General features: G+C 47.5%; 1 protein-coding gene and 1 pseudogene across 3 annotated transcripts, besides 1 other annotated feature; one reads left to right on the top strand and one right to left on the bottom strand.

Moving 5' to 3' along the window:
* Positions 3,952 to 4,862: an enhancer, noted in NCBI's record as "H3K4me1 hESC enhancer chr10:13276077-13276987 (GRCh37/hg19 assembly coordinates)". NCBI's record gives its function as "activates a minimal SCP1, AML or CMV promoter by ChIP-STARR-seq in naive H9 embryonic stem cells {active_cell/tissue: H9 hESC(naive)}" and the evidence as "EXISTENCE:reporter gene assay evidence [ECO:0000049][PMID:30033119]".
* On the top strand, positions 4,565 to 17,173 carry UCMA (upper zone of growth plate and cartilage matrix associated). 3 transcript variants are annotated; one of them, NM_145314.3, is made up of 5 exons: positions 4,565 to 4,738; positions 5,139 to 5,204; positions 5,306 to 5,401; positions 9,230 to 9,328; positions 16,739 to 17,173. In NM_145314.3, exons 1-5 carry the CDS (start codon positions 4,681 to 4,683, stop codon positions 16,834 to 16,836), a joined length of 417 nt encoding a protein of 138 aa, NP_660357.2. In that variant the 5' UTR covers positions 4,565 to 4,680; the 3' UTR covers positions 16,837 to 17,173. The 3 variants fall into 3 exon arrangements, with proteins under 3 accessions (NP_660357.2, NP_001290047.1, NP_001290048.1); NM_001303118.2 differs by lacking the exon at positions 5,306 to 5,401; NM_001303119.2 differs by lacking the exons at positions 5,139 to 5,204; positions 5,306 to 5,401.
* RNU6-6P (RNA, U6 small nuclear 6, pseudogene) lies at positions 21,564 to 21,670 on the bottom strand (annotated as a pseudogene).

Below are 23,497 nucleotides of genomic sequence, written 5' to 3'. Positions count from 1 at the left end.
AGGCAGCTCTGTATTCCAGCGCACAGGAGCCCGTGGAGGGGAGGAGGTAGGAGGGAGCTGGTCTTCATCTCTGTGAGACGGTGCAGTATGACAGTTATGACACAGACCCGGGGCCAGGCTACCCCGGGTTCAGTCTCAGCCCTGGACTTGCCCAGCTGCATGGCCTTGAGCAAGTCGCTCTACCTGTCTGTACCTTAATCCCCTCCTCTGTCACAAGGATGGAAGTGAGGATTAGAGTCAATGCACCCAAAGTCCTTGAATGTCACCTGGCACGTCCTGAGCATTGCATACATGTTAGCTAACGCGACACAATAATGAACCGTGGAGTGATTTTAAGCAGGGAACTGACCTGAAAGTTGTTCAGGAAGACCATCCTCCCAGCGACATGGAGGGTCTAAGCCTCAGCTTAGACAAGGCTGTCACCATCATCCGGGAGAGCAATGGTGTCTGAGAAAGGCAGGAGCAAGGGGACCGGCAAGAGCAGAGGGCATTTCAAAAGATGTAAGCAATAGAGTCACCAGGGTCTGAGGACTAAGGAGCTGGGCTGTGAGGGGCGAGGCTGTGCATTTCCGATGACTCCGGAGCTTCTAGTTTGAGTAGCTGGGGATGAACAGTGAGCTCATTCACAGAGATGGAGAAAACAGAAAAAAGAGAAATCTCAAAGGATATGTCTTTGGACAGATTCAGTGTACAGTACTTGTGTGTTTTTTTGCTTGTTTGTTTTTGAGACGGAGTCTCGCTCTGTCGCCCAGGCTGGAGTGCAGTGGCATGATCTTGGCTCACTGCAACCTCTGCCTCTCGGGTTCAAGTGATTCTCCTGCCTCAGCCTCTCAGGTAGCTAGGATTACAGGCACACGCCACCACGCAAGCTAATTTTTGTTTGTTTGTTTGTTTGTTTGTTTGTTTTAGTAGAGACAGGGTTTCACCATGTTGGCCAGGATGGTCTCGATCTCCTGACCTCGTGATCCACCTGCCTCGGCCTCCCAAAGTGCTGGGATTACAGGCATGAGCCACTGCTCCTGGCCACTTGTGGGGTTTAAATCAGGTCTTCTGACATCAAATCCAGCACTCTTCTCTTCTTCCCACAGCCACTAGAATTATGCCTTTGCCATGAGGTGAGGTGGCATGTTGTTCTTTGGGGTCTAATGTCACGAGGAGGCCACTTCTGCAGCACATCCAGCCCTGGTGGGCAGCCCGAGGGCAGGGGCAGCTGAAGGTGGAAACATATGGAAAATGAATGCCCATGGTCTAGACGGAGAGAAAGTTATAAGGCACTGACAGGTTGCGGAAACCAGCTATGGTCAGAACGCTGCTTGGAGCAGATCAGTGTAGCCACTAGGAATCTCAGGTAGGCTGGGCGCGGTGGCTCCCGCCTGTAATCCCAGCACTTCGGGAGGCCAAGGAGGGGGATTGCTTGAGGTCAGACATCAGATTACCCTGGACAACATGGTGAAACCCTGTCTCTACGAATTTTTTTTTTTTTTTTTTTTTTAGATGGAGTCTCACTCTGTAGCCCAAGCTGCAGTGCAGTGGCATGATCTCGGTTCACTGCAACTTCTGCCTCCGGGGCCCAAGCAATTCTCCTGCCTCAGCCTCCCAAGTAGCTGGGACTACAGGCATACACTACCACGCCCAGCTAATTTTTTGTATTTTAGTAGAGATGGGGTTTCACCATGTCGCCCAGGGTGGTCTCAAACTCCTGAGCTCAGGTGATCTGCCTGCCTCGGCCTCCCAAAGTGCTGAGATTATAGGCATGCGCCACCACGCCCAGCTGAAAAAATTTTAAAAATGATTTACCCAAGGCTGACTCGCCAGTGACGGGCACAGGTGCCTGGTGCATGGCAGCAGGTGTTCAATACAAGTTTGTGGCTGAAACAAATAGAATTAAAAAGGCACAAGTGGACTTAGGGTATGGAGGATGTCACGGGTTTGTCACATGTCCGCTTTCTCACTGGACGTCCCATCAAAATCGCTCAGCCCTGTGTCTGTCCCTCCCCTCTCCCAGTGACATCCAGTTCATTTGATAGATGAGCCCTGTGGCTCTGTCCTCATGCATTCGTTCAGCCATGTAGAGCCCTTGCTCCCATGTTCAGTGCAGGCCAGCCAGTATCCCAGGGGAGCCCACGTAGGGCCAGCCAGCATAGCCATCAACCCCATTTTCTTCCACTGGAAACCAACCCTTTATTTTGTTTACTCTGTCTCAGTTATTTTTCTGCCTTAACATTCTTTTCCTGGACGACGGTAAAGTCCATGAGGGATGTAAACATGAAAGTCTTTCTTTTCTTTTCTTTCTTTTTTTTTTTTTTAGATGGAGTTTCGCTCTTGTTGACCAGGCTGGAGTGCAATGGTGCGATCTCAGCTCACCGCAACCTCCACCTCCCGGGTTCAAGCAATTCTCATGTTTCAGCCTCCTGAATAGCTGGGATTACTGGTGCCCACCACCACGCCCAGCTAATTGTTGTATTTTCAGTAGAGACAAGGTTTCACCATGTTGGCCAGGCTGGTCTTAAACTCCTGACCTCAGGTGATCCACCTACTTTGGCCTCCCAAACTGCTGGGATTACAGGCATGAGCCACTGCACCCGGCCTTTTTTTATTTTTTTGAGACAAAGTCTCGCTCTGTCACCCAGGCCGGAGTGCAGTTGCGCAATCTCGGCTCACTGCAACCTCTGCCTCCTGGGTCCAAGCGATTCTCCTGCCTCAGCCTCTTGAGTAACTGGGATTACAGGTTCATGCCACCACGCCTGGGTAATTTTTGTATTTTTAGTAGAGATGGGGTTTTGCCATATTGGCCAAGCTGGTCTAGAACTCCTGGCCTCAACTGATCCACCTACCTCAGCCTCCCAAAGTGCTGAGATTACAGGCATGAGCCACTGCGCCCGACTGAAAGTCTTTCTTTTTTTAAATAGACATGGGGGTCTCGCTATGTTGCCCAGGCTTATCTCCAACCCCTGGCCTCAAGTGAGCCTCCTGCCTCGGCCTCCCAAAGGGCTGGGATTTCAGGCTTGAGCCACTTTGCCTAGCTAACATAAAAGTCTTGTAAGAGGGGAGCTTCAGGTAGGTATGGGCTGGGTTCTAGGTCTAGTGATGGTTCCCATTAGACAAACATTAAACGATGCCAGAAGGCTGACAGCAAAGAGTTGATGGTTCCTAACAAAGGCAACATTAGGAACACATCTCCAAGGGGACTGAGCTCTAATGGCCATGTTGGTGCTGATTTCATTAGTGGTCCCATTTCTGGGAACCCATTTCCTCCCCTACATGGAGTATGATGTGTGTCTTCCTAGAGATGCAGGATTAGCTGTGGAGCTTTTCAGATACCTGCCCTTCTCCCCCTCCGCTGTGGAAGGTGATTGAATTTGGCCTTGCTGTTTTTAAATTTTTTTTTTTTTTTTTTTTTTGAGATGGAGTCTCGCTCTGTTACCCAGGCTGTAGTGCAGTGGTGCAATCTCGGCTCACTGCAAGATCTGCCTCCCGGGTTCACGCCATTCTCCTGCCTCAGCCTCTCTGAGTAGCTGGGACTACAGGTGCCCGCCACCACGCCCGGCTAATTTTTTTTGTATTTTTAGTAGAGACGAGATTTCACCGTGGTCTCGATCTCCTGACCTCATGATCCGCCCACCTCTGCCTCCCAAAGTGCTGGGATTACAAGCGTGAGCCACCGTGCCCGGCCGCTGTTTTTAACTTTTAAATTTTTATTTTATTTTATTTTATATGTATTTTTTTTTTGGGACTGAGTCTTGCTCTGTCACCCCAGCTGGAGTATAGTGGCGCGGTCTCGGCTCACTGCAACCTCTGCCTCCCGGGTTCAAGTGATTCTCCTGCCTCAGCCTCCTGAGTAGCTGGGATTACAGACGCCCGCCACCATGCCCGGCTAATTTGTTTATTTTTATTTTTAATAGAGACAGGGTTTCACCGTGTTGGCCAGGCTGGTCTCGAACTCCTAACCTCAGGTGATCTGCCTGCCTCGGCCTCCCAAAGTGCAGGGGTTCCAGGCATGAGCCACCGCGGGAAGGCAATTGACTTTAAAGGGCTCTGGGACCCGCGGCCCCAGGAGTTTGTGTTTGGCTTGGCAGTGAGCATCAGCTGGAAGCAGTGCATCAGGTAAGGTGTTCTCTGGTCGCTGTCAGCATGACCCACACGTCTGTGTGTCACCCTGATGGGTATTCCAGTCATTATGAGCCCTTCTTGACTGACATTTAGATCAAAACTCCCCCATTGATCCTCTCTTCCTCCTTGCCCCCACCCATGCTTCAACCCTGAGGACCGGGGCCCTAACGTCCCTGGAGCAGGTGCCAGGACCTCCTTGACACAGGCCTTGGTCACTGGAACCCTGACTGTTAGGATGAGCCTTCCCAGCAGCAGATCCCCAGACACGGACATTGGAAAGGCCACTCCAAGACCGTCCCACCCAGGGCCCTAACTACAAGCTCTGCTTCTGGAGACATTTGCCAGGTGCCAAAAACATCTCCGTTGCTCCATCTAGGAGCAGCCAATGGAAAGGGCAGCCCAGCCCCCTCCTCCTCTCCCCCAGTGGTATCCCAGCCTCCTGCCTCTCTCTTCCCTCCCCCGCCTTCCTTCCTCTCGCCTGGGCTGCCTGCCTCAGAAGTGGGGACCCAAAGGGTGCAGGACGCCTGGTCTGCCTTGTGGGTCCTGGACGGAGCCCCTACCTCTGCAAAGATGACTTGGAGACAGGCCGTCCTGCTGTCTTGCTTCTCCGCCGTGGTGCTCCTGTCTAGTGAGTACAGGAGGGTCAAGGTGGAGGGTGTTAGTTACATGGTAAGGGAGACTTACCATGCACAGGTAAGGCTGCTCAGGTGATGCAGGTAGAAAGGAGTATGCTTATTGTTAACATGTGTGTATGTGTGTGTCGTGTGCATGTAGGACACAATGCAATACAGAAAAATAATAATAATAATAAAAAACAGTAAAGAAAGAAACAAAATAGAAAAAAAACCCAAGCCAGCTTGCTTGGTGGGTTCCTGGGGAGATTGGCTCTGCAGCTGGTACGTGAGAAACCACGGGCCCCCTGCCAGGCCCTGGCAGGACGCTTAGCCTGGAAAGAGAGATGGGGACTCAGCTCAGGGTCTGGGCTCCCCTCTGATGCTGCAGCCTCACTCTGTGCCCTTGTCCTGCAGTGCTGAGAGAGGGAACCAGTGTATCTGTGGGCACCATGCAGATGGCGGGAGAAGAGGCGAGTGAAGGTGAGTGCAGGGGCCACCCACGGGGCAGGGCAGGTGCAGCCAGCGAAGCAGCAGCCCCAGCACCCCCACACTGCTGGTGACAGGCCTCTCCCGGGTTTCAGATGCAAAACAGAAGATTTTCATGCAGGAATCAGATGCCTCGAATTTCCTCAAGAGGCGCGGCAAGCGGTCCCCCAAGTCCAGAGATGAGGTCAATGGTAAGGATGCTGGAGGGACCCCATCCCGCGTCCATCACCACCTCTGCTCACACCCCCCGGCTCCTCCTCTCCCACAGTCAGCCGGGCAGCAGGATGCAGCTGGGCACGAAGGGCTCACCCCAGGGTATCAAAGGGACTGCAGCTCTGAATGAGAAATTACACCCTATTTCCTGACTGTAGGTCGTATATTGGATTGAATACTTTGTCAGGGTTAGGAGGCCCCACCTCTGCAAAGATGACTTGGAGACAGGTCCTCTTGTCCTGCTTCTTGGCCATGATGCTACATTAAACACACCTAACAGGGATAAGATGCATTGGATTTCAGAAAGGTGTAGGGAGGGAAATCTATATTCTGGTCTGGAGGCGACCCACACATCAGTGTGTGCTTTGCGGGTACTGGTCCAGCACACCTTCTGTATAAGAGCAACAGCATCGCACATGGGGAAGGCACAGGACACTGGGTGCTGAGAAATGTGGGTCTGGGGACAGCTGTGCTGCTAAGTGGCCTTGGCTACTTCCTCCCTCTGGTCCTAATTTCCTTATTTATAAGCCTCTGAAAGAGCTGTGTTCAGCCAGCAGAGGTTTTTTTTTTTTTAAGTTTTCATTTTCAACACATTGGGGTGAGCCTGTCTGTTGCACAGCCTGCTGTAGGGCCTGTGGAGCCCCGGCTTCAGGGTCCTCATGCCCTTCACCTGCCAACCCCTGAGGGCATTTGAGTTTCTACTCCTGAACCTGCTTCTTCCAAGATGCTGAGCTCAGACAGTATCTCCCGAGTCTCTGGCTTGAGTCTTTCCTCCTCGTGCCTGTGGGTGAATGAACTCTTTGTATTCTTCAGGGCACTCAGCAAGGTGACTTGCTTGGTAAAAATAACAGGACTGTTTTCAAATGATGGGAAGAACAGAGATAGAAATGCTTGGAGATGAAATTTCTTTTTTTAAAAAAAATTGAATAAGTATAACCGTGCTAGGAAAACCTCCAGGCCTCATACAACTGGAGATTTAAAAGTTGGCCAATGTCAAGAAGCACTGAAAGGTTGGGAGGGGGGCTGGACTGTTTTTGATTAAAATGGGAGAAGCAATCTTCTGGCAGACTTCCAGGGGAAACAGGCATGATTTTAGGCCAGGCAAATAGCTTCTGTCCTCTTTTTTTTTTTTTTTTTTTTTTTTGAGATGGAGTCTCACTCTGTCGCCCAGGCTGGAGTGCAGTGGCAGGATCTTGGCTCATTGCAACCTCCACCTCCCAGGTTCAGGTAATACTCCTGCTTCAGCCTCCCAAGTAGCTGGAATTACAGATGCCTGCCACCACGCCTGCTAATTTTTGTATTTTTGTAGAGACAGAATTTTGCCATGATGGCCAGGCTGGTTTCGAACTCCTGAACTCAGGTGACCCCCCTGCCTCGGCCTCTTAGAGTGCTGAGATTACAGGCATGAGCCACCGCGCATGGCCTCTTCTGTCCTCTTAAGCTGACTCCAAACAATGAGCTACACCATTTAGCCTGAAGTGCCTTACCTCGGACAGAAGCTCAGTGTGTCAATTAGTCATGGGAGGTGCAGGACAGCCTGGTGAACACCCAGGATTGTGCATGAATGCATCTGCTGTCACCCAGTCAACTCCTGTGGATAGCAGGAGGGCAGTGCCCAGCGATGCCTCAGGTTGGATAAAGGGCAGGTGACAGACACTTCAGCCAACTTGAATTTGGAACCAGGAGACAGGCATCTGACATCTCTAAGCCTCTGGGATAAAGGTGAAGTTACTTTAGGGTGAAAAGAGAGTGTGATGAATGCATGTTCTTGAGAAGAAACGTATACAATGCACAGAATGACACATAGTATAAAATTACTATCTTGTCCTGAGGATTAAATTGTTCTTATTCATTACGTCAAAGCTCTAATTTGTGACACCTCTGAAAAGACCACTTGGGAAGATTGTTTGCTGTCCTGAGTACACAGGGGACAGAGGACGCTTCTTTAGGAATAGGCAGTGACTTACTAAGTACCTGCTTCCTAAACCCTAAGCCCCCGCACCTCCCACAACGGCTTTCTGGCGCTTGGAGCAACATCAGGACCCACAGTGGGTGGGAAGAGGGAAGCTGAGCCAGCAGTGGCGTGTGGGAACCTGGTACCCTAGCTCTGCCCCAATCTGCTGTGTGACCTCTGTTAGGTCATGCACATCTCTGAGCCTGAATCCCCTCTGAGAAATGTGTGAATGCCGAGTGAGAGGTGGGGCATGGGTATGGATGGGATAACCAACCCCTTCTGCCAGACTCAAGTTTCCTGCAACTAAGTAGGTCACGGCAGACGTTTGGGAAGAAACATTCCAGACGTCTGGAATCTGCACTAAGCCCAGTTCACAGATAACTTGATTTTTAATCTGAGTTAAGTAATAGAAAAGTAACAGAAATAACTAGTATTTATATAATTCATTAATTAAGGTAAGCGTCTTACTTCCAAGGATTTGAGATGGTTTGTTTGTTTATTTATTTATTTATTTTAAGACAGAGTCTCGCTCTGTTGCCCAGGCTGGAGTGCAGTGGCGTGATCTCAACCTCCACCTCCCCGGTTCAAGCAATTCTCCTGCCTCACCCTCCCAAGTAGCTGGAATTATAGGCACCTGCCACCACGCCTGGCTAATTGTTGTATTTTTAGTAGAGATGGGGTTTTGCCATGTTGGCCAGGCTGGGCTTGAACTCCTGACCTCAAGTGATCCGCCCGCCTCGGCCTCCCAAAGTGCTGGGATTACAGGCGTGAGCCGCCACGCCCGGCCTGAGATGGTTTCCAATATTATCATTTTGCAAAGACTTTTCCTTGTTTCTCCCAGCACCTCTGTAATGTGGGTTGGGGGTAGGGAACCATGACTTTCCCCAGCTTCTCTGCTTCCTTCAGCACCCCCCAGCCTCCTCTTGCACATCAGAGTTGATGGGGCAAAAAAACAGTACCTCCGTCTCCCCCATTTGGTGTGAGGGGAATCCCACTGTGAGATCGTGAGGCGTGCTGAGGGACTGGTTCTTCCTGCCCTAGACGTGGCCTCCCTGGCTTCATGGGTTTCTCCAGTTGAAGCTCGTGTTGGGGGAAATACCTTGAAAGTAGAGAGCTTTACATCGTTTCCTCCAGACAACCGGGAATTTTTATTCCAACAGCTGTAATGCTTGGTAAAACTTGTCTTATGTCTTTCTCCTTATTGAATTATAGGTCTCTTAAGCAGAGGGAAGGATTTTATTTTATTTTGTTTTTGAGACAGGGTCTCGCTCTGTTGCCTAAGGTGGAGTGCAGCAGTACAATCATAACTTACTGCAGCCTTGAACTCCTGGCCTCAAGCAACCCTCCTGCTTCAGACTCCCTAGTAGCTAAGCTCACAGGCGTGAGCCACCGTATCTGGCTGGAAGGACGGAATCTTTCTTATTCGGCTTTTTAATTCCAGTGCTTAGCCTACATCCTGGCCGTGATAAGAGCTCGAAAATGTTGAATGGATGTGAGATTAAGTTGTATTATTCCTTTAGGGAATTTGTTTCTGATTATGGGATTTCTGGTTTCCAAGTGGCCTGGTATACTTGGATATGCCACCAACTTTATAATCAGAGCTAAATCACTTTACTCTCTGGGGCCTCTATCTTCTCATTTGCAAATGAGGCAGCTGGATCAGATAATCACCTTCAAGTTTTAAAGTCTGTGTCAGGAGTAAATCATTTCAGGGAAGTCTCCAATCACAATCCCCCACAAACCACTCATCCCCCAACCAGGTGACTTCTCAGATGAACTGTGCTCCCCTAAGTGTGTGCCCCTAAGTGTCCTCATTCTTGAGGGGCAACTCTTGCTTCTTTTCCTTTCACAGTGGAAAACAGGCAGAAGCTTCGGGTTGATGAGCTGCGGAGAGAATATTACGAGGAACAAAGGAATGAATTTGAGAACTTCGTGGAGGAACAAAACGATGGTAAGAGCTCTTCAGCCAGTGTCTTCAGGGAGGTGGAGCGTTGGGGAGAAATCACATGGTTTGCTTTCTCTTCTTCTACCCAACTTTTTTTTTTTTTCTTTTTTTGAGACGAAGTCTTGCTCTGTTGCCCAGGCTGGAATGCAGTGGTGTGATCTTGGCTCACTGCAACCTCCACCTCCCAAGTTCAAGCGATTCTCCTGCCTCAACCTCCAGAGTAGCTGGGATTACAGATGCCCCTAGCTAATTTTTGTATATTTAGTAAAGACAGGGCTTTGCCATGTCGGCCAGGCTGGTACTGAACTTTTAATTGGAGGAGGGAGGAAAGGGAAGGTCTACTTTCAATTCATATCCAGGAGAGCCTTGAAAAGAAGGGAGGGCCGGGCGCAGTCGCTCATGCCTGTAATCCCAGCACTTTGGGAGGCTGAGGAGGGTAGATCACCTGAGGTCAGGAGTTTGAGACCAACCTGGCCAACATGGCGAAACCCCATCTCTACTAAAAATACAAAAATTAGCTGGGTGTGGTGGCGGGCACCTGTAACCCCAGCTACTCAGGAGGCTGAGGCTGGAGAATCGCTTGAACTTGGGAGGCAGAAGTTGCAGTGAGTGGAGATTGTGCCACTTCACTCCAGCCTGGGCAACAAGAGTGAAACTCCATATCAAAAAAATAAAATAAAATAAAATAAAAAGAAGGGAGAAAAATGGCTACACAGAACTTGAGAAGGTGTGGAAGGGGACAGAATACCCTTATTCCCATTGGCTTGGGGCTGTGGGGATGGGGCAACTGTTTGCTGACTGTGTGGATATTAAACTCCTTTCCCTCCCTCCTCCTATTTGGGCATCACCGCACTGGTCTGTGTTCTCCGTCTAAGCACCAACACTTAGGCTTAGCTCTGGCAGGATCATATTGGACAGAGTCCACACTCACTCGCAGGTGCCTTATATTCACGTCAATGTCCTGGCTCCAGGTCCTACTCCATCCTGGAAAATCAAGGCCTTCATTGACCTATTCAGTGTACTCAGCATCTTTACTGACTGGCAGAAGCAAACCAGGAAAGCTGAACTCAGAAAACAGCTTGCCTTCTACCCTCTCACCCCACCTGCAGCATCAACATCTACAGCCTATCTTCAGGCTCCAACTCATCCAAAAGCATCAGATCACCTGAAAATTTTTATATGGTTTTCTTGTGGCTTTATGCTTCTCCTATTTGTATCCTCTTCTCTAAGCCTTGGTCTTTTCCTTACTAGCAAAAAATAGAGAGTAGGAAAGGCCCAGGGAGGCCAGGAGTTTTGAGGGGCTGAGGTGGGCGGATCACTTGAGGTCAGGAGTTTGAGACTAGCCTAGCGAATGTGGCGAAACCCTGTCTCTACTAAAAATAATTAAAAATTAGCCAGGCGTGATGGTGCACACCTGTAGTCTCAGCTACTTGGGAGGCTGAGGCAGGTGAATTGCTTGAAACTTGGAGGTGGAGCTTGCAGTGAGCCAAGATTGCACCACCGCACTCCAGCCTGGGCAACAGAGCAAGACTCTGTCTCAGAAAAAAAAAAGAAAAGAAAAGGCCTAGACCAGAGAGTCCAGTGTCTCTGGCCAGGCATTCCGCACCCCTCAACCCCTTGGCAGACAGGGTTCCTGTCTGCTCTTAGAAAGTGCTGGCTGTGCCAGGGCTCAGTGGAGGATGGTGTGGCTGGGGACACGGGTAGAGGATGCTCTGTCTTTGAGCCACTGCCTTCCACGGAGTGGGATTTGATTTTGCTGTGAAGTACCCTCAAGGGTCACCCACAGCAAACATCCTTAGGACCGTTTAATGGGGATCACACCAGCATACCAGAGAATGTGTGTGTGTGTGTGTGTGTGTGTGTGTGTGTGTGTATTTCCTTTCCTTTTTTTTTTTTTTTTTTGAGACAGTCTCATTCTGTCACCCAGGCTGGAGTGCAGTGGCATGATCTCAGCTCACCGCAACCTCCCGCTCCGAGTTCAAGTGATTCTCCTGTCTCAGCCTCCCAAGTAGCTGGGATTACAGGTGTGCACCGCTATGCCCAGCTAATTTTTGTATTTTGGGTAGAGATGGGGATTTACTATGTTGGCCAGGCTGGTCACGAACTCCTGACCTCAAGTAATCTGCCCATGTCAGTCTCCCAAAGTGCTGGGATTATAGGCGTGGGCCATCGCACCTAGCCCTGTTTATTTATTTGGTCTTTCTCCAAATTTCAAGATTGTAATGCTCCTGAGGAAAATCACCTGGTACCTCCTGGGTGCACGTGAACTTGGACGTGAGGCCCCAGTTTAGGTCGCCTTTGTGGGAGAGAGTCAGCTCTTTCATTTCTCCTGGCCGTTTGCTCTGATGGACTGGGGAGGCAGCACCCTCGGAAGGCATCTCCTAGTGAAAAGGAAACCACCCCTGGGTCAGGTGCTGCAGGCTATGCCCATTGCCCTGCAGGTGCACCTGGCTGAGGCCTGCAAACAGGTGCTGGGCTTGGATCCTGGCAAATCAAACTTTCTTAGGAACATACTGGGAAAACTTCAGGCCATCACAGCTTGGAAGCACACACTTCTGCTAGAGATGTGTTTATCTTGGTGGGCAGCTTGGGGAGAAGCACTTAAAAGTTGAGAATGTGGCCTTCAAAATTCCTTCAGTGTGATTTTGACTCATACTATTAAAATAGCATTTTATTTTGAGCAGTTTTAAATGTTTTAGGCCCAAAGCTCTAGCATGTAGATGAAAAAACATTCACTGTTTTCCCTTTCTTGATGAATTCAGGATGCAGGGTTGGGCGCCTGCAGGTCCTCTTACAGGATAGGAAGACAGGAGACCCTAGGTCTCACCCACACAGATGGAGAAAACACAGGCCTTTGGGGAATGCAGTTCCAGAAGCTGTTGTCCTTGAGCCCTTGCTCTGCCAGGCACTGTAAGTGGCCACCTAATCCTCACGAACTGCCTCTGAGACAGGTCTTGTAATTTCCAGCTCATGTTTCAAAAATAGAGGCTCAGGCTGGGCACCATGGCTTACACGTGTAATCCCAGCACTTTGGGAGGCCAAAGTGGGAGCATTGCTTGAAGCCAGGAGTTCAAGACCAGCTTGGGCAACTAAGCGAGGCCCTGTCTCTACAAAAGAAAAAAAATTTTTCAATTAAAAAACATAAGCTGGGCATCGTGGCATGTGCCTGTAGTCCCAGCTACACTGGAGGCTAAGGCAGGGGGATGGCTTCAGCCCAGGAGTTCGAGACCAGCCTGAGCAACATAGAAAATGAGAAAATTAACTTGGCTGGTGGCATGTGCCTGTAGTCCCAGCTACTTGGGTGGTTAACAGAGGATCACTTGATCCTGGGGAGTTCAAGGCTAGAGTGACTATGATCATGCCACTGCACTCCAGCCTGGGCAACAGAGCAAGACCCTGTCTCAAAAAAAAAAAAAAATCCACAACAAAAATAAAAAACTGAGGCTTAGAAAGGATACATGTATACTCAAGGAGACGAGGCTAGTAGATAGCCCTAGCATTAGAACCCCAAGGCTTATTTGCCAGCAAAGCTCCTGTTCTTGTAAATCAAGGATGAGCAAATGCATAGAGGTCTTGGAGAGCTTCTTTGATCCAGGAATTGGCCCCCGGATGGAGTGAGTGAGAAAGATAAAGCAGAGTAGCCCTCAGGGGGTCTCCCCAGAGCTCCATCAAGGCAGGGGTCACAAGGTGAAGCAGGCCTGGCCTCCGGAGGATGAGTTTTGGAAAAGGTGGAAATCATTTCAATCTTCTTTCCTCTCCGTTGCCTGTGGCTCACAATGTTGCACGGGGTTCTGCTTGCCTGAAACCATCCCTGGGGCGGTGCTCAAGGCGTCTGACTTCCAAGCCCTCCCCTGAGGCCCCTGACATACCTGTCAGTCAGGACCCTGGTTTCAGCTAACTGTCCTATCTAACCAAGTCACCTATTCTTTTTTTTTTTTTTTTTGAGATGGAATCTCGCTCTGTCACCAGGCTGGAGTGCAGTGGCGCTATCTCGGCTCAATGAAACCTCCTCCTCCGGGGTTCAAGTGATTCTCCTGCCTCAGCTTCCTGAGTAGCTGGGATTACAGGCACCCACCACCACGCCTTGCTAATTTTTGTATTTTTAGTAGAGACACGGTTTCACCATGTTGGCCAGGCTGGTCTTGAACTCCTGACTTCAGGTGATCTGCCCACCTCGGCCTCCCACAGTGCTGGGATTACAGGCGTGAGCCCCCGCCCCCGCCCCGAGTCACCTATTCTAAGGGTTACTGATAGCAGTTGGATATTCGACATCTCCCCAAAGTACTTACTTCATAAAAGGAATGCCCACTGGGACTACAAGCCTGTAGTCCCAGGACTTTTGGAGGCCAAGGAATTTAGCCCTGGCAACATAACGAGACCTTGTCTCTATTAAAAATTAGCCCGGCATGGTGGTGCATGCCTGTAGTCCCAGCAACTTGGGAGGCTGAGGCTGAAGAATCACTTGAGTCCAGGAGGCTGCAGTGAGCTATGATTGTGCCACTGCACTTCTGCTTGGGCAACAGGATGAGAACTTGTCTCAAAAACAAAAACAACAAAAAAAGGGATGCTGAATCAACTTCTACGTCAAAACCACACTCTCAGGGTTGGCAAAGAGTAGCTCGTCTACTGAGCTTGAGAAATGCCCGAAAGAGCTGAAGATGAACACACAAAGCTCCGGCCTGGGCCTGGCTCTGTGAGCTCCAGGCTGCCCCTGGGCTATCAAGTACCTAATGGGATTTTCAGCACCAAGGGGAGGGCCAGCTCTGAGCCCACATAAGAAGGAAACACTTCTGGCAGCTGCGGTGCCTCAACATGCCTTGGTCACTGGGCCCTGCACCCAGCTGGGCCGAGGTGAGACTAGGCCTGAGCACGCGGCTCTCACAGGTGCTAAGGACCAAAGCAACATCTCCATTCCTCACACCCTGAAGCCACCAGGCGGTCCTGTTGGCCATCGCCACAGAGGATGCCAGTTTCACTTTCGCTAGTACCAAAATCAGGTTCATGGGCTTCTTGGTGAGGTCCACATTTGAGAAAACAGAGGTAAGAAAGACATCTTGGTTCTTTAATTCTTGACATCATCTTCTGTTAGGATTTCCCATCCTTCCAACATCTTTGACAAATGCATCTTAAAAATGTGATAAAACACACACAACATAAAACTTGCCATTTAAACTCTTCTTTCTTTCTTCCTTTTCCTTTCTTTTTCTTTCTCTTTTTTTCTCTTTCTTTCTTCTCTTTCTTTACTTTCTCTTTCCCTCCCTCCCTCCCCACCGCTTCCTTTCTTTCTTTTTTAGATGGGTTTTGCTCTGTTACCCAGGTTGGAGTGCAGTGGTATGATCATAGCTCACTGCAGCCTCAACCTCCTGGGCTCGAGCAATCCTCCCAACTCAGCCTCCCAAGTAGTTGGGACTATAGGCAAGTGCTATCACACCTGGCTAATATTTTTTTATTTTTTGTAGAGACGATGTCTTGCTAACGCTGCTCAGGCTGGTCTCAAACTCCTGGCTTCAAGCGATCCTACCAGCTTGGCCCCCCAAAGTGCTGGGATTACAGGTGTGAGCCACCATGCCCAGCATAAACTATTTTTAAGCATACGATTCAGCAGCATTTACTACATTCACTGTGCAACAGTCACTGCTATTTCCAAACCCTTGCATAGCCTCATACAGAAACTGCATTCATAAAGCAGTAACTCGCCATTCCTCCCTCCTGGAAGCCTCTGGCAACCTCTTTTTTTTTTTGTCTCTGTAAATTTGCCCATTCTAGGCTAGGTGCAGTGGCTCACGCCTGTAATACTAGTGCTTTGGAAGGCCGAGGCAGTTCGATCACTTGAGGTCAGGAGTTCAAGACCAGTCTGGCCATCAGGATGAAACCCCATCTCTACTAAAAATATAAAAATTAGGCGGGCGTGGTGGCATGCACCTGTAATCCCAGCTACTCCAGGTGGAGGCAGGAGAATCGCTTGAACCTGGGAGGCGGAGGTTACAGTGAGCCGAGATCACGCCACTGCACCCCAGCCTGGGTGACAGAGCGAGAGTCAAAACAACAAAAACAAAAACTTGCCCATTCTAGACATGTCATCTAAGTGGAATCATACATTATTCATCTTTTTGCGTCTGGGCTTATTTCACTCAGCAGAATATTTTTAAGGTTTGTCCATGTTGTAGAATGTGCCAGAACTTCATTCCTTTTTGTGGCGAAATTTTACACATACACACCACATTTTGTTTATCCATTTCTTTGTTGAGGGACACTGGGGTTGTTTCCACCTCTTGGCTGCTGTAACTGTTGCGCTACGAACATTCACGTAGAAGTATCCATTTGTGTGTCCCTGTTTTCAATTCTTTTGGGCATTTTCTTTTTTTCTTTCTTTTGTGTTTTTTTTTTTTTTGAGATAGGATCTCACTCTGTCGCCCAGGCTGGAGTGCAGTGGCGTGATCTCAGCTCACTGCATCCTCCACCTCCCAGGTTCAAGTGATTCTCATACTTCAGCCTCCTGAGTAGCTGGGATTACAGGTGTGTGTCACCATGCCTGGCTAATTTTTGTATTTTTTAGTAGAGACAGGGTTTCACCATGTTGGCCAAGTTAGTCTAGAATTCCTGACTTTGGGTGATCTGCCAGCCTCAGCCTCCCAAAGTGCTGGGATTATAGGCATGAGCCATCCCGCCTGGCCAATCACAGCACTTTGGGAGGCTGAGACAGGAGGATTGCTTGAGACTGGGAGTTGGAGACCAGCCTGGACAACACACTGAAATTCCACCTCCATAAAAAAATTAAAAAATTAGCCAGGCATGGTGAAAGGAGGCTGAAGTGGGAGGATCGCCTGAGCCCTGGGAGGTTGAAGCCGCGGTGAGTCATGATCACGCCACTGCACTCCAGCCTGGGTGACAGACTGAGACCCCGTCTCAAAACAAAACAAAACAAGAAAGAAAGAAAAAAAAAGAAAATTAATTCAGAACAGTATGGAGGAAAAAAAACTCCAAGTCGACAATGATTTCCTTCATGTTTTCAAGGCATGGTTTGTAGTCCCTTATTTTTCTTGCATGTCCTTCCAGTAGTCCATTCCTGCTACTGTGTTGTTACTTTTTCGTCTTGTGTCTTGGTTGTTAAGTCTTTGAAACAGGGCTGCATAAGCCTCTGCCCTCCTACACTGGCTGGGCAGGCAGAAGAGCCTGAGATGCCCGGCCCTGGTCTACACCTGCCTGTGACCTTCGCCCATCTGGGCCTGACTTATACACAAGGCTTGTCAGCTCACATACTCTGGATCCTCACCAGTCCTGGCCTTCTCTCACCAGGGCTCACAAACACTCTCAGTGCAGGTCACCACAGGGCAGGGGTTCGGCTGATGGCTGCTGGGCTCAGTGGCAGGTCAGAGTCCCCCTGTCCTAACAGGTGGCTTTGTCTTTCCTCCCCAGAGCAGGAAGAGAGGAGCCGGGAGGCTGTGGAGCAGTGGCGCCAGTGGCACTATGACGGCCTGCACCCATCCTATCTCTACAACCGCCACCACACCTGATCCCATCCTGAAGCCGGCCAAGAAGACAAAGCTTGTAGCACCATTGGCATCCCCGTGTTCCAGCAATCTTTCCCATGCAAACCGGCCCTTCAGAGGGTCTCAGCTTGGGGTCTGCAGTGGCCAGCAGCTCTTGAAAAGACGCATGCCTTTCCTTCCAGTGTGTGAAAGTGTCCTGACTTTCACCTCTTTGCAGACCATCTTCTGAGGTGAGCAACTGCCTGCAGGGCCTCCTAGTACCAAACCTACAGTGGCTTCCCCTGGCTTCGTTCCCAAGCAAAAGAATCAGTCAAGAATCACATGTTTGCTTATGGCTTACAAATAAAAACGCTGAATCAACCATGTGTATTATCTTCTCAAATCTCCAACCGAGGGGTGTCATGCTGTCTTCCCTGAGCGATGATGTGATTCTTGCTGACTTGGGTGTTTGAAAGCTTGAACTTGAGGAGCATTGCTCACTCTTCTCAATATGTCCCATATGCCACCGAATATGCTAGAGTTGACTCACCCAGTCGTCTATCAGTGTGATCGATTTCTGGACATGAAACGCTGGGTCATAACATATATATATATATGTGCGTGTGTGTGTATATATATATGTATATATATACACACTTTTTTTTTTTTTTTTTTTTTTGAGACAGGGTCTCACTTTGTCACCCAGGTTGCAGTGCAGTGGCAAGATCATGGCTCACTGCAGCCCCGACCTTCCAGGCTTAGGTGATCCTCCCACTTCATTCTCCCAAGTATCTGGGACTACAGGCATGTACCACCATGCACAGCTAGTTTTTGTATTTTCAGGAGAGACGGGGTCTTGCCATGTTGTCCAGGCCGATCTTGAACACCTGAGCTCAAGCAATCCACTCACCTTGGCCTTCCAAAGTGCTGGATTACAGGTGAGCCACTGCACCCAGCCGACTTCTACATATTTTAAACTGGCTAAATCGAATTTCTCTTTGAAGAGGTCGCGTGCTTCCTATCGCTGGGCATCTTTGCTGATCCTTTCTGAAAGCAAGTAAACTTAAGACCAGAAAAGTCCTGGGCAGGGGACAGGGGTGCTTGAAATATACACTATTCATGGTGTCTTTTCAGACGGCAAATCTCACTTCTAGCTCCATTAAATTTAACCAAGTCAGACTTAACCAGGTTCCTAGTGCATACCCTAGCTATGTGATCCATGTACTTCTACCACCTACCCCAATGCCTTCGGGCCTGGCTAAACAGAAAGGCTGTTTAGGAACCCGCAGCTCTCCACAAACCTCCTTGAAAGTGACACACAGCTTTTAGTAAGCAATGTTCTAGCAGTGGAAGAGACTGGTATAACAGAAAAACTTTAAGGCCAGGTGTGGTGGCTCATACCTGTAATCCCAGTGCTTTGGGAAGCTGAGGCAGGAGGATTGTTTGAGGCCAGGAGTTTGAGGGTGCAGTGAGCTATGATCAGGCCACTACATTCCCGTCTGTCAGACAGAGTGAGACCCTATCTAAAAAAAAAAAAAAAAAAAGAAAAAGAAAAAATGAAATTTGAGAACAACATGTGTCTATCTAGATCAGTTACCGAGTGGATGGTGAGCCTGCCAACTGGGGTTGGTAGTTGGGCAGCAGTGAAAGCTTAACCACTGCTAGCTCAGATCCTGAGTCAGGGGTGCAGGCTGTTCAGCCAGCGATACCAGGGAGGTTGCACTGTATTTGCACATAACTGACCTTCTGGTTGGATGCCAAGACAGGCCCTGAGGTAGGTAGCCTCTGTTTACAAGGTTTTTGTTTTTGTTTTTTTAATTAATGACTAAAAAAAATACTCAGTGTGCAACAGAAAAAAAGGCAAAGTGTTGCTCTGTCACTTCCATGGGGAAACAAGAGAAGCCCCAATCTGGTTCATATTGGTCAGGATAACACACCCCAGTGCTTTCTGGCAAGAGGGCAGTTCCCCTTTGCTGCATGGTGGTGATCAGGAGGATGTCAACCAATAACTTGACTCACAGCCACACCATGCACCACCTGCCGGTCGTGTGTCCACAGGAAGGAATGCAGGGCTTTTCAGATGTCAAAAACCAAGAATGGCTTGCTTTAAAAAAGCAAAACAGCCTGTTCTTGCCTCTTCCCTGCTCATGCTTAGCACGGTGGCTCTAGATACAGAACTCTGGCAGAAAGGAGCCAAATAAGAATTCCATTACCTTGTTCTACCCCCATCCTTAACAAGGGCTCCATTATACTTCAGGGTTTTCAAATTCGGTCCAGAATTCCTTCACCAAATGCCAGCTGCGGTCATTTCCTTGGGCGGGAGAAGCATAACAGAGGTAACGCGATCTGGGATCTGGACAGCCACAGTTCACATGAAATTAGAACAGGGCGGTTTGTATTTTGGAGACTGGCCTTGTCAAAAGTGTGGCCTTTGGGGCTTCTTTTGCTTGGGTTTTTCTGTTCTTTCATTACTTTCCCGTAGTTCTTAGTGGGTTCTAGCTAAGTGGTTGAAAACAAATTTGTCAAAGGATATATCTGTCATTCATTTTTATTCACCAATTTTGCATATGTTGGAATTTCATTTTCCCAGTGCAGGTTAAAGGTACAAGGAAAAAACAATGTTTTTGTGTGTTCCAGGAGAGATTTTACAATTTATTATCGTGTGCCTTTGTTTATTTAGATTTTTTAGAAGGAGGTGGTAAGTTTTGTGAGCCACAGAATGATTAAAAAAATTTTTTTAACTTATGTGGTTTTTATCAGTTACATTGAGTTGGGTTATTTTATTTCTAATTCATTTGCTGCCAATTATGTTCTAATTCTTTGGGAAGTTTTTCATAATTTAAAAGTTTTTCATAATTTAAAAGGCTGGGCGTGGTGAGCCACACCTGTAATCCCAGCACTTTCAGAGGCCGAGGTGGGAGCATCGCTTGAGCCCAGGAGTTTGAGACTGACCTGGGCAACATAGTGAGATTCCATCTCTACAAAAAAAATTAAAAATTAGTTGGGCATGGTGACACATGCCTGTAGTTCCAGCTACTCGGGAGACTGAGGTGGGAGGATTGCTTGAGCCCAGGAGGTTGAGGGTATAGTGAACTATGTGACACCACTGCACTCCAGACTGGGCAAGAGAGTAAGACCCTGTCTCTAAAAAAAAGTTGTCTCTAGCCTTGAAGGGATTTCTCTGAAAACAAATTGGTTAAATATAAATGTTCTAGTCTACAATTGAGAACTCTGATATACTCTGTGATCTTATAATGTTTAAAATTATAAATGTTTAAAAATGTTTTATTCACTTTCCACATTATCTTGGCTTTTTAAAATTAAAAATAGTCTAACAGGTACACGAGACTCCATCTCAAAAAAAAAATAGTCTAACAGGTAATACACACCCATGGTTTAACATTTTTTTTTTTTTTTTTATCTTTTCTTTTTTTTTTTTTTTTCTTTTTTTATTATTATTATTATACTTTAAGTTTTAGGGTACATGTGCACATTGTGCAGGTTAGTTACATATGTATACATGTGCCATGCTGGTGCGCTGCACCCACTAATGTGTCATCTAGCATTAGGTATATCTCCCAATGCTATCCCTCCCCCCTCCCCCGACCCCACCACAGTCCCCAGAGTGTGATATTCCCCTTCCTGTGTCCATGTGATCTCATTGTTCAATTCCCACCTATGAGTGAGAATATGCGGTGTTTGGTTTTTTGTTCTTGCGATAGTTTACTGAGAATGATGGTTTCCAATTTCATCCATGTCCCTACAAAGGACATGAACTCATCATTTTTTATGGCTGCATAGTATTCCATGGTGTATATGTGCCACATTTTCTTAATCCAGTCTATCATTGTTGGACATTTGGGTTGGTTCCAAGTCTTTGCTATTGTGAATAATGCCGCAATAAACATACGTGTGCATGTGTCTTTATAGCAGCATGATTTATAGTCATTTGGGTATATACCCAGTAATGGGATGGCTGGGTCAAATGGTATTTCTAGTTCTAGATCCCTGAGGAATCGCCACACTGACTTCCACAATGGTTGAACTAGTTTACAGTCCCACCAACAGTGTAAAAGTGTTCCTATTTCTCCACATCCTCTCCAGCACCTGTTGTTTCCTGACTTTTTAATGATTGCCATTCTAACTGGTGTGAGATGATATCTCATAGTGGTTTTGATTTGCATTTCTCTGATGGCCAGTGATGATGAGCATTTTTTCATGTGTTTTTTGGCTGCATAAATGTCTTCTTTTGAGAAGTGTCTGTTCATGTCCTTCGCCCACTTTTTGATGGGGTTGTTTGTTTTTTTCTTGTAAATTTGTTTGAGTTCATTGTAGATTCTGGATATTAGCCCTTTGTCAGATGAGTAGGTTGTGAAAATTTTCTCCCATGTTGTAGGTTGCCTGTTCACTCTGATGGTAGTTTCTTTTGCTGTGCAGAAGCTCTTTAGTTTAATTAGATCCCATTTGTCAATTTTGGCTTTTGTTGCCATTGCTTTTGGTGTTTTGGACATGAAGTCCTTGCCCACGCCTATGTCCTGAATGGTAATGCCTAGGTTTTCTTCTAGGGTTTTTATGGTTTTAGGTCTAACGTTTAAATCTTTAATCCATCTTGAATTGATTTTTGTATAAGGTGTAAGGAAGGGATCCAGTTTCAGCTTTCTACATATGGCTAGCCAGTTTTCCCAGCACCATTTATTAAATAGGGAATCCTTTCCCCATTGCTTGTTTTTCTCAGGTTTGTCAAAGATCAGATAGTTGTAGATATGCGGCATAAAAATATGGAACGCTTCACGAATTTGCGTGTCATCCTTGCGCAGGGGCCATGCTAATCTTCTCTGTATCGTTCCAATTTTAGTATATGTGCTGCCGAAGCGAGCACCCCATGGTTTAACATTTTTAAAGAACAGAAAGGAATACGCAGAAAGGTAGTCCCTCCTGGGTCTCCTGAAAGAAACCATTATCACCATTGTCTTGAGTTTCCTTTGAGTGATCTGTATACATCTAAGTATATAAACTTTTTTCTATTTATTATTTATTTATTTTTCCGCCAGGAACACTGTGCTGACCATTTTTATTTTTTTTAAAAAACTTTAGAATTTATTTTTGACCAGTGATATGTTTTTGGGCAGGAGTGCAAGCTCAGCCTGCTGCTAGCTCAGATCCTGCGTCAGCCCTGAAGGCTGTTCAGCCAGCGACACCAGGAAGGTTGCGCTGTATTCACACAAAACTGTCCTCCTGGTTGGATGCCATGCTTTGTTTAATACCAGTTGGTTTACCTATTAAACCAACTTTCTACCACGAATAAAAATCTGTATAGTTAATTTACAGTTAAGCAGTTTTTGTAAAACTTTCCAAAAAAAAAAAAAAAACTTCCTACAGGAATGGCAGTGTTTGAAGATGTGTTTGAAAAGAACCCTGATTTCACATGCAAACAAAGGTGAACATTTTTCTAGATAATGTCTCATTAGTTTAGACACTCTAATAATACTTTTGAGTCTCAAATAACACACTAGTGAGTCTGGATCATTTAGTGTGTAAACCCCCAAGTTAAAGACTTGCAGAATTAAAAATGATGATCCCATTCCTCCGAGGCACCGAGGTCTGGAGTACTAACTTACGATTTTATTAGGTCATGTTCTAAATTGTAATTTTTCATGCACTCAGTACGGAACAGAAGGGCACTGAGGGGCAAGATACTCTATATTTATGTTTTGTGTTATATTCCTCTGTCCTTTAAACATTTTAAACCATGTGTATTCAAACTATTTTTAATTACAAAAGCCACGATAATATGGAAAGTGCCAAAACTTTTTAAAAAGTGTTAGTATAGGCCGGGCGCGGTGGCTCACGCCTGTAATCCCAGCACTTTGGGAGGCCGAGGCGGGTGGATCATGAGGTCAGGAGATCGAGACCATCCTGGCTAACAAGGTGAAACCCCGTCTCTACTAAAAATACAAAAAACTAGCCGGGCACAGTGGCGGGCGCCTGTAGTCCCAGCTACTCGGGAGGCTGAGGCAGGAGAATGGCGTGAACCCGGGAAGCGGAGCTTGCAGTGAGCCGAGATTGCGCCACTGCAGTCCGCAGTCCGGCCTGGGCGACAGAGCGAGACTCCGTCTCAAAAAAAAAAAAAGTGTTAGTACATTGTAAGATCACAGAGTATATCAAAACCATCAGTTGTAGACTAGAATATTCATATTTAACAAATTTGCTTATGGACAAATCCCTCAACTGCTAGAGACAGAACTTTTAAACTAAAGTGATTTACACAATTAGAATGGTATCCTGAAATCATTACTGAAAAAATAGTGTAGCATGTCCTTTAGAAAGTCACTACAGATGTGGCCGGGGTGTGGTGGCTCACACCTGTAATCCCAACACTCTGGGGGCCGAGGCAGGTGGATCACCTGAGGTCGGGAGTTCCAGACCAGTCTGACTAACACGGTGAAACACAGTCTCTACTAAAAACACAAAAATTAGCTGGGAGTGTCAGTGGGTGTCTGTAATCCCAGCTACTCGGGAGGCTGAGGTAAGAGAATCACTTGAACCTGGGAGGCAGAGGTTGTAGTGAGCTGAAATCGCGCCACTGCACTCCAGCCTGGGTGACAGAGCAAGACTCCATCTAAAAATAAAAGAATAAATAAAAAAAGTCATAAAAATAAGACTTGAAAGTCGAAATGACTTCTCGATCCATGGGTTGCAGAATGGA

This window comes from Homo sapiens, chromosome 10, assembly GCF_000001405.40.
Source record: "Homo sapiens chromosome 10, GRCh38.p14 Primary Assembly".
In the NCBI taxonomy this organism is placed as follows: Eukaryota; Metazoa; Chordata; class Mammalia; order Primates; family Hominidae; genus Homo; species Homo sapiens.
The sequence above is the reverse complement of the archived record's forward strand: the minus strand, read 5'-3'. Positions and strand labels throughout refer to the sequence as shown.